At 43.1% G+C, this 10966-nt stretch overlaps 1 long non-coding RNA gene and 1 pseudogene across 1 annotated transcript in view; one reads left to right on the forward strand and one right to left on the reverse strand.

The window, feature by feature from the left end:
* Positions 1 to 10966, reverse strand: part of LOC105372394 (uncharacterized) — a 26083-nt gene continuing 15117 nt past the window's right edge. The window contains exons 3-4 of the long non-coding RNA NR_187848.1: positions 2787 to 2866; positions 1 to 2538 (exon numbers count right to left, since the gene is read on the reverse strand). This is a non-coding gene — a long non-coding RNA (uncharacterized LOC105372394). The remainder of the gene's footprint in view (positions 2539 to 2786; positions 2867 to 10966) is intronic.
* LOC728533 (IST1 homolog) lies at positions 566 to 1974 on the forward strand (annotated as a pseudogene).

The raw sequence follows: 10966 nt of genomic DNA on the forward strand, positions 1-10966 counted from the left end.
TTAAAGCATGCAAAGGAAGACTTTATTCAGGATCATCGTGATAGGTATTGGAAGCACAGCAGTGAGATTTTGCAATGGGTACAAGAGATTGGGTTCAACTCCAAATTCAGCATGAACGAGTAGGAATTTATAGTCAAGGAGCAGGTTAGGGATCACTGGATGACAAAATACTAAGAGGAAATGTCTGGGATAAGTAGGATTCTGGCTAAACGCACCTGTTGGGATTCTTTCTGAAGAGAGAGACCTGGATGATAAGACATCATCGCCTGGGGGATAGTGGAGGATGAAGATGGGGGGCAGAGGGTTCTTGCTAAACTGACTTAAAAGGGGCCTTTGTTATTGTTGGATTTTATAATGAAGTGTACAGATGGGCCCAGGGGAAGGTGTAAGAGCCTGAGTAAAGTTTGGTCACGCAGGGTTTGTGTAGGATTCCTTCCTGGAAGGGTTGTACACTCCGCCCCCATCTCCCGGTTCTTGGAGTTTCATTTACGTGTTTAAGAATCACGTGGATGGTGAACCCTGATTCTGAAGTCGGTGTCTGCTGTGTTCATGGCAGGATTCGGTTAGGAGGAACAGCACAGCATGCTGGGCTCTGGATTTAAAGCTGAGCACTTAAGAGTGAATTTGAGATTAGTCATAAATCGCCTTGAACTATTGGAGGAAAAAAAAAAAAAACAGAACTGGCCCAGAAAGCAAGGAAGGAGATTGCTGACTATCTGGCTGCTGGGAAAGATGAACGAGCTCGGATCCGTGTGGAGCACATTATCCGGGAAGACTACTTCGTGGAGGCCATGGAGATCCTGGAGCTGTACTGTGATCTGCTGCTGGCTCGGTTTGGCCTTATCCAGTCTATGAAGGAACTAGATTCTGGTCTGGCTGAATCTGTGTCTACATTGATCTGGGCTGCTCCTCGACTCCAGTCAGAAGTGGCTGAGTTGAAAATAGTTGCTGATCAGCTCTGTGCCAAGTATAGCAAGTAATATGGCAAGCTATGTAGGACCAACCAGATTGGAACTGTGAATGACAGGCTAATGCACAATCTGAGTGTGGAAGCCCCATCCAAAATCCTGGTGGAGAGATACCTGATTGAAATTGCGAAGAATTACAATGTACCCTATGAACCTGACTCTGTGGTCATGGCAGAAGCTCCTTCTGGGGTAGAGACAGATCTTATTGATGTTGGATTCACAGATGATGTGAAGAAAGGAGGCCCTGGAAGAGGAGGGGGTGGTGGGTTCACAGCACCAGTTGGTGGACCTGATGGAATGGTGCCAATGCCCATGCCTATGCCCATGCTATCTGCAAATACTCCTTTCTCATATCCACTGCCAAAGGGACCATCAGATTTCAATGGACTGCCAATGGGGACTTACCAGGCCTTTCCCAATATTTATCCATCTCAGATACCAGCAACTCCCCCATCATATGAATCTGTAGATGACATTAATGCTGATAAGAATATCTCTTCTGCACAGATTGTTGGTCCTGGACCCAAGCCAGAAGCCTCTGCAAAGCTTCCTTCCTGACCTGCGGATAACTATGACAACTTTGTCCTACCAGAGTTGCCATCTGTGCCAGACACACTACCAACTGCATTTGCTGGTGCCAGCACCTCAGCATCTGAAGACATTGACTTTGATGATCTTTCCCAGAGGTTTGAAGAGCTGAAAAAGAAAATATAGGTCTCTTAAACCAGGCAACTTTCATATTCTGGGAGTTGAGACTGAGCAATTTCTCCTTGTAACAAAGAATCTCCATGAAATTCCTTTTCATCTGTTAACCGTCACTGAGCACAACACTCCTCCTCTGGGCTCTCTGCCTGCTCCTCCAGATTCTGCTGCTTTCCAGTTCTCTGTTGATCCTGAGACTAACAACCGGAGACTGAGGCTGGAGCAACTGGCTCCTGGCAGCTGTGCTTGTCCCTTTTCTGTCAGAGTGATCCCAGGTTTCCTCCTGGCCCGTCCCATGGTCCCTCCACAGGAGCATAAGAGGATGGGAAAGCACTATGGGGAGACCACCAAAGATGGCTGGACAGTGGGAGAGAGCACGTCGTGAAGCATCCCAGCCTCGTGTTGAGGTTCCAGACTTAGAAACAAACCCCTCTGTACAGGGGGATTGTGGTGAGTGAGAATCAAGGCCACGGTGTGTGTTTTCGCACTCGAATGCAAGTGGGAGAGAGAAAATGACTCAGGACGCCATTGTAACGGTTCCTGGAAGCTGGGCCCTCTCATTGGCATATACACTACTCCTCGCCGCAGGGCACTGTCCCACCGGGATCCAGTTGCAAAGTTTGTCTCGACAGTTTAAGGCCTCGCTTAGTTGTACTGGATTCTCAGGGAGTCCTCTGTGGCCTTTTGCTCTGAGTGCTGTTTCCCTTGTACCAGAGGGCAGCACCATGGAAATTCTGTTTTTCCTGTAGCATATTGTGTTGGATTGCCTTACTGGCAGAGAAAGGACAAATTGCCATTGAAGTCTAGGGTGGGCTTCCAGCTGCCTTAATAGAAGTACTCAAGTCTTTTGGGTAGTGAGCTGGAAAGCCTACAGGAAAAAAGGGGTACCTGTTTTCATTTGAAAACTTTGATTCATGGAAACTTTAAAACTAATCTCAGATAAATTTTTGGTGCAAATGTGGCTGTAGTTGTCCACTGCTTTCCTGGATGGATGGGACTCTTATGTCATAACTTCTATACTCCTTTGGCCCATAGCTAAGGTCATCCTTCCCCACAGGGGTGGCTTTGGGATTGGATTATACAGCTTTTGCTTCTGTGTAGTATACCTGTACATACCTGTTTCAGGAAGCCTTTCTTTAATGTTTTCAGTTGGTTTGTATTCTGTAGCTCAGTAGCTGCTAATAAAGTTAAAGATCCTGGAAAAAAAAAAAAAGAATCACGGCCTTCTTGAATTCTGACTCTAAGAACCTGCAGTGAAGGATGACTAGAGATTTCACCTACCATACTTCCTTCTGGTTATGTGTATGAAATTATGCACCTGTAGCCTTGGAGGGGGAAACAGAAACACTATTTCGAGGAGTTTTTGGATCGTTCCGTTTTGGATTTCTGTAGATCAAAAGCAATAGGAATATGAACTCAGTTGTGATGTGTTCGTGCAAATGAAGGAAGTGAGCCGGAAATTTAAGTGCCCCAAAATAGGAATTCTTAGTCATTGGGTCCATTGTCTGTTTTTACGGGCATACAGGGCACCACAATCCCCCTGAAACTTTATATACATGTTTGTTAATTTGCATTTTTCCAGGGTTCCATCTTCCAAATTATTTAGACTTGAGCTTTAGACCTGGAATCAGAGTGTTATACCTTTGAATGGTTTTGCAGAAAACTAATGATCAAGATTATGAGAATGGTTAAGAAAATCATACAACATCCATGGGATTGGACATTATACTGATAATAAAATTTATGTTTATAAAGAATTTGTTATTAGCTGCATACCAGATATCAGGGAAACAAAAAATAATAAGAATTTGTCATTAACGGAAAAATGACTGTGATCTAACCTTAAACAGTATTCACAGTTGTAGATCACAGTTCTCAAAAACTGTATATGCATCCCATTTTTTAAAAATGGAAGTTTCCAAAACCTTTTGCAAGGATTGTATCTAATATGACCATTCAATTGGTTTTTCAGAGAAGAATAGAAGGGGAGAGGCCACATTTATTGAACATCTAATGTGTACCCAAATCATGTGGTCTGTTTTCTGTATCTTTTCTCATTTAATGCGCAAAGACCATTTCCCTGTTCATTAAGGGAAGAATCTTAATAGTGAAATGTTTCTAATTATGTAGAAGTGGCACAGCTAAAGGCTATTCAAGAGGACACATGTTACATGACACGTTGATACTTTTTAATTCTAGTCCTAGTACTTAGGTTTCTTTTCATGACAAAAATGTACCCTCTTCTAAAAAGTTTAATGCTTTGGAATGTATTGATGTTCTATTTGTAATGATGGAATTAAGGCAGGCTCATTGCAAAAATTTCATTACCTAAGGAAGTTATGAAGAAGAAAGAATAACCCCAAATCCCCCCTGCCCAGAGAAAATCACTTTACATATTTTGGTGTATGTGTTTCTAATTTTCATGTATGAACATTTGTGTGTAGTTTTGTCATTGCAGAAGAGAATTAATAGAGACACAAAGACTCCAACTGTTAGTTCGAAAATGGAATCTACCTCAATTGTTGCTGTTAAACCAAAATTATGGTATGGTATTGCTTTGGACTGAGCTTCTGCACTAGGCTCCAACAGACCACACCAAACCAAAATGAAGTCACTCATGCTAAATGCCACATTATCAAACTGAAACTTTAAGGGAGCAGATAAATCTCAAAAAAAACCTGTTTTTCCTGAAAACAAGAGATTCCAGTCTAAATAATTGATGTTCACCACTCCTTTCTTATTTTTAATTTAAAAAACTTTTTTTTAAAGACAGGGTCTCACTCTGTCACCCAGGTTAGAATGCAGTGGAGTGGTTATGGCTCACTGCAGCTTCAAACTCCCGGGCTCAAGCGTTCCTCCCGCCTCAGCCTCCCAAGTAGCTGGGACTACAGACGTCCGTCACCAGGCCTCAGTTCTTTTTTCTCTAGTTCTGTTATTTGTTCCCACCTTACACAAAACCCACTGCATTGGGCAAGGGCTCTCATTCTATTTTATACAATGGAGGCTGCCCCGTTTGTGAATCCCAAATAAAAGCCCATGAGATCTAAAGTCAATTTATTGTAACTTTGTCTTTTGACGTGGGTTTCCATATATCTGTGTATCTTAGGAGGATAGGGAAGTACCAGGGACCACCTGAGGTGAAAAACAACTACGTATTTACGCCTTTTAGATACTAAAAACATCATTTAACACTCAAGACGTCACAAATTATGAAGTAAGATATCCTCTCAGAATTAATAATTTATGCTGGGCTCATGTCTGTAAAATCCCAGCACTTTGGGAGGCTGAGGTGGGTAGATCGCTTGAGCCCAGGAGTTTGAGACCAGCCTGGGCAACATGGTGAAACCCTGTCTCTACAAAAAATACAAAAATTAGCTGGGCATGGGAGCGCTTGCCTATAGAACCCATATAGGCTGCGGGGTTCCGCTCTCCAGGAGAACGACTCTCGGGTGAGAGAGCAGCCCACAGGCACACAGGCAGACCTGTCCTCGAGGTCATGGAGGGCATGACTTTTGGGGAGACTCACCCGAACACCGTCCGGGCAGGCCTGAGGCTGGGATGCCACGCTGCTCCTCCCGGATTCTGCCTGTGGTTTCATCATCCTGGTCCTAACTCCGCCACTCATGGCATCCGGAGACCATCCCATCAACACCCTGGAGAGGTCAAGCCAGAGCCTCAGGGTCCTCACACCCAAGCACCGGAACGGAGGGCTCCTGCATTGCCAAGCCTCAGGGACTAGTTTCTCAGGCAACTGTGGGACTGTACTCACTTGAGCCCAGGAGTCTCAGGCTGCAGTGAGCTGCGACAGCACCACTGCACTCAAGCCTGGGCAACAGAGTGAGCCCCTGTCTCAGAAAAAAAAGTTAAAAATGTTCAAAAGGTACTGAGTGGTCAGAAAAACAGAATAAATGCCTCCTATCTTGTATCTTTTTGTTTTGTTTTTTGAGATAGAGTCTTGCTCTGTCGCCCATTCTGGAGTTCCATGGCATGATCTCGGCTCACTGCAACTTCTGCCTCCCAGGTTCAAGCGATTCTCCTGCCTCAGTCTCTCGAGCAGCTTGGATTACAGGTGTGCTCCACCACGCCCAGCTAATCATTGTATTTGTAGTGGAGACGGGGTTTCACCATGTTGGTCAGGCTGGTCTCGAACTCCTGACCTCATGATTCGCCTGCCTCGGCCTCCCAAAGTGCTGGGATTACAGGCATGAGCCATTGCACCCGGCCCTTATCTTGTATCTTTTGACATCTCATCATTAACATACACCTTTCTTCCACAATTAAATTTAGCATCATCATCTACAACAAAATGTTCCTGCCCCATATACTGCCACTACTCCACTAACATAAATGCAAAGTTCTTCCAAGTGTCATAAGTTCCTGTGACCATTTTCAAAGCCACGATTTATGGGGAATATCAGTTATTGCTCTTTGTATAAATAAACAAAGGCCAACCAAATAAGAACAAAGAGGCTGGGCATAGTGGCTCATGCCTGTAATCCCAGCACTTTGGGAGGCCGAGGCGGGTGGATCACCTGAGGTCAGGAGTTCAAGATCAGCCTGGCCAACATAGTGAAACCCTATCTGTACTAAAAATACAAAAATTAGCCGTGCATGAAGGTGCACGCCTATAATCCCAACTACTTGGAAAGCTAGGGCAGAAGGAGAATCATTTGAACCTGGGAGATGGAGGTTGCAGTGAGCCTAGATCGTGCCACTGTGCTGTAGCCTGGGCCACAGATTGAGACTCCGTCTCAAAAAAAAAAAAAAAAGAATAAAGACAGGCTTATGCATATAGAACTTGCTACGTAGTAAGAGTTCTGTTTACATTTAAGTTCCATTTGTTTATGTTCTCTGTAGATTGTGGATATTAGGCCTTTGTTGGATACATAGTTCGTGAGTATCTTCTCCCATTCTGTAGGTTGTCTGTTTGCTCTGTTGGTAGTTTGTCTTGTTGTGTTAAAGCTTTTAGTTTAATTAGGTATCACTTGTCTATTTTTGTCTTTGCTGCTTTTTTGGAAACTCAGCCAAAAATTCCTTGCCAAGGCCCGTGTTGAGAAGAGTATTTCCTAGGTTGTCTTCCAGGATTTTTATAGTTTGATGTCTTGTATTTAAATCTTTAATCCATTTTGAGTTAATTTTTGTATATGGTGAAAGGTAAGGGGCCCAGCTTGAATCTTCTGCATATGGCTAGCCAGTTATCCCAGCACCATTTATTGAATAGGGAGTCCTTTCCCCATTGCTCATTTTTGTTGACTTTGTCGAAGATCAGATGGTTGTAGGTGTGTGGCTTTATTTCTGGGTTCTCTAACCTGTTCCTTTGGTCTATGTGTCTGTTTTTGTACCAGTACCATGCTGTTTTGGTTACTGTAGTCTTGTAGTATAGTTTGAAGCTGCATATGTGATGCCTATCAGCAGTGGACTGAATAAAGAAAATGTGGTACATATACACCACGGAATACTACACAGGCGTAAAAAAAATAAATCATGTCCTTTGCAGCAACATGAATGCAGCTGGAGGCCATTATCCTAAACGAATTAATGCAGCATCAGGAAACCAAATACCCTATGTTCTCACTTATAAGTGGGAGCTAAACATTGAGTACACATGGACACAGAGATGGGAACAACAGACACTGAGGCCTGCTTGAGTGGGAAGGGTGGCATGAGGCTATGGATCAAAAAACTATTGGGTACTGTGGTCACTACCTGGGTGATGATATCATTTGTACACCAAACCCCAGTGATATGCAATTTACCCATATAACAAGCCTGCACATGTATCCGTTAAACCTAAAAATAGAAAAAATTAAAAATAAATAAATAAATGAGGTATAAGTCTAATTGCTGAACGTTGTGAAATGTAACCAACAGAGCCATTGAAAATAGAGTGGCCAGGCATGGTGGTTAATGAATGTAATCCCAGCACTTTGGGAGGCCGAGGTGGGTGGATCACGAGGCCAGGAGTTCAAGACCAGCCTGGCCAAGATGGTGAAACCCCATCTCTACTAAAAATACAAAAATTAGCGGGCATGGTGGCAGGCACCCGTAATCCCAGCTACTCGGGAGGCTGAGGCAGGAGAATCACTTGAACCCGGGAGGTGGAGGTTGCAGTGAGCCAAGATCGCACTCTAGCCTCGGTGACAGAGCAAGACTCCGTCGAAAGGAAGAAAGAGAGAGAGAGGGAAAGAAAAAGAAAGGAAAGGAAAGGAAGAAGGAAAGGAAGGAAAGAAAGAAAAAAAAGAGTGAGAGTACCGTATTTGGAAAGTGGTCCAGGCACTGGGGTGAGTGTCAGCCAAGTCATCACCTGTGAGAACAGGAAGTCATCAGGTAATATATCAAGTTGATATATTGAGAAGGAGCAGGATCTACCTATTATATAACACAGAGATAATCACTCAGATATATAGATTAGAAATAGTTTAGAAAATTTAAACATTTGATTATTCAGGGAGTAGACCTGGGAGCATTGGAGAAATAAGGTGGGGGAGTAGACTGCATGGAAAGCTCTTTCTTAGTGTATGATTTTTCAATGATGCACATAGGTTTCTTACATAACATGTAAAATTCAATTAAAGAAGAAACAAAGTTGTGTTCTGGGGTCCCAAAGGTTCAGTGATTAATTAGAAGAACTCACAAAACTGAGTCAAGCTGTTATACTCATGGTTATAGTTTATTACAACAAAAAGGTACAGATTAAAATCAGCAGCAGAAAAAGGTGCATAGGGCAGAGTTGAGGAGAGACCAAGCGCAAGCTTCCAGTTGTCCTCTCCCAGCGGCATCATGTGGACAGTGCTTAATTCACCCAGCGATATGTGGCAGAAAGTACAGAAAATACTCCCCAACAAAAAGCTTACCTGAGCCTTGGTGTTGAGGGTTTTACTGGAGGTTGGTCACATGGACAAGAGCACCCATTTGGATGACCTTAGTTTCTCTGTCTCCACCCTTCCCAAGGTCAAGCTGACACTGCATGGTCCAAGGTCCCCACAATAAATCACATTGTTAACATGGACTATATAGGCAGGATATTCCAAGGAGTTAGAGGTTATTTTCCAGGAGCTGGGCTAGAGTCAAACCTTTCTTTGGAGTGTGCGGGGTTTGGACAATTCAGGCCTACTAAGTTTCCTTGACTGCACACAAGTGATAGTGAGTATGTAGGAAATGAGTAGTCTCATATATTGCTGGTGAAAGTATAGTGTTATATAAACCTCCGGAAAGAAATCGAGTGTGTAGTGCGTAGACATTTTATTTGGTTTGTTTTTGTTTTTGTCTGAGACAGGTCTCACTCTGTCACTTGAGCTGGAGTGCACTGGCGTGATCACAACTCACTGCAGCCTTGACCACCCAGGCTCCAGCTATCCCCCCACCTCAGTATCCTGAGTAGCTGGGTCCACAGGCACGTGCCACCACACCCAGCTAATTTTTGTGTTTTTTGTACAGAGGGGGTTTCATCGTGTTGCCCAGGCTGGTCTCAAACTCCCGGGTTCAAGGAATCCCCCACCTCAGCTCCCCAAAGTGCTAGGAATACAGGAGTGAGCCACTGCGCCCAACCTGTTATTTTTTTTGTATAAATTAAATTGTATATGTTAGGCTCGGCACGGTGGCTCACGCCTGTAATTCTAGCACTTTTGGAGGCCAAGGTGGGTGAATCACTTGAGGTCAGGAGTTCGCGACCAGCCTGGCCAACATGGTGAAAACCCATCTCCACTAAAAAGACAAAGTTAGCTGGACACGGTGGCAGATGCCTGTAATCCCAGCTACTCGGGAGGCTGAGGCAGGAGAATCGCATGAACCCGAGAGGCGGGGGTTGCAGTGAGCTGAGATAGCGCCACTGCACTTCAGCCTGGGAGACAGAGCGAAACTCCATCTCAAAAAACAAAAAATTGTATATGTTATTGTATGTATGTGTATATATTAAATTGTATATACATATATATTACATTATATACGCATACGTTTGTTTCCTCGTGCAATCTGTTTCAGCAGAAGTAAAATCTCATAAAGATAGAAGTAAAAGAATATTTACAGAAGCATTATTTTTGGTTGCAAAAGTACTTTAATATCTTAAATGCTTATATAATGGAAGATAACTCTTAACAAAGAATTAGTTAACTTTTTATCTACTATAAAGGTATCTTAATATCTTTATACCTGAAGTGATATTTGTGGCAAATTGTTATATTTCAAAAGGAGAATGCTTTATAATTAAAGAAAAAAGAAAGAAACGTTATATAGTAGGCCTCCCTTATCTGCAGGAGACGTGCTCTAAGACCCTGTACCCAGAGGCTGCAGCTCCAGCCGCCCTGTCAAGCCAGCCTGCCAAGCTGCTCCTGCTCCAAACCAGCCATGTCTCCACCAATGCTGTGTGGCCCAAAGTTTTTTTATGAGAAATCTACTGATCATCTTATTGAGCATCCCTTGAATGTGATGAGTTGGTTTCTTCTCTCTTGCTGCTTTCAGGAATCTCTCTGCCTTGGCTTTCAACAGTTTGATGTGTCTTGGAATGGATGTCTTTGAGTTCATCTTAATTGGAGTTCATTAAGCATCTTGGATGTTTACATTCATATCTTTCATCAAATTTGGGAAGTTTTAGGCATTAATTTTAGGCATTAATTTTTGAAATAATCTCTCTGGTCCTTTCTCTTTTCCTACTGAAATTTCTACAGAGCATATGCTGGTCTGCTTGATGGTTTTTGTACTTTGAATGAGCCTTTCTTATTTATTTGTGTGCCTTGTGATTGTTGTTGTTGTTGAAAGCTAGATATTTGACTCCAATAATATAGTAACTCTGGAAATCAGGTTCTTCCTTTTTTGGTGTTTGTGAATTTTTTTGTTTTTTGATCATTGTAGGCTCCCTGTGTCATGGATTACCCGGAGATGTAAGCTTAAAGTCTTCTCAGATCTTCTTGAAGCCTGCATCCTTTTCTGGGCATGCACCGTGACTCTCTAAATTCCCCGGTGTGTCTGGTTTTTAATAAAATCTCCTAGGTCAGTAGTCCCCAATCTTTTTGGCACCAGGGACTGGTTTTTGGAAGATAGTTTTTCCATGGGCCCGGGGAGGGGGTGGGGTGATATCAGGATGAGTCAAGTGTGTCAAATTTATTGTGTACTTTATTTCTATTATTATTACATAGTAATATATAATGAAATAATTATTAAACTCACCATAATGTAGAATCAGTGGGCACCCTGAGCTTGTTTTCCCATAACTAGATGGTCCCATCTGGGGGTGATGGGAAACAGTGACAGATCATCAGGCATTAGATTCTCATAAGGAGTGCATAACCTAGACCCCCCAC

This window comes from Homo sapiens, chromosome 19 (genome assembly GCF_000001405.40).
Source record: "Homo sapiens chromosome 19, GRCh38.p14 Primary Assembly".
Taxonomy (NCBI): Eukaryota; Metazoa; Chordata; class Mammalia; order Primates; family Hominidae; genus Homo; species Homo sapiens.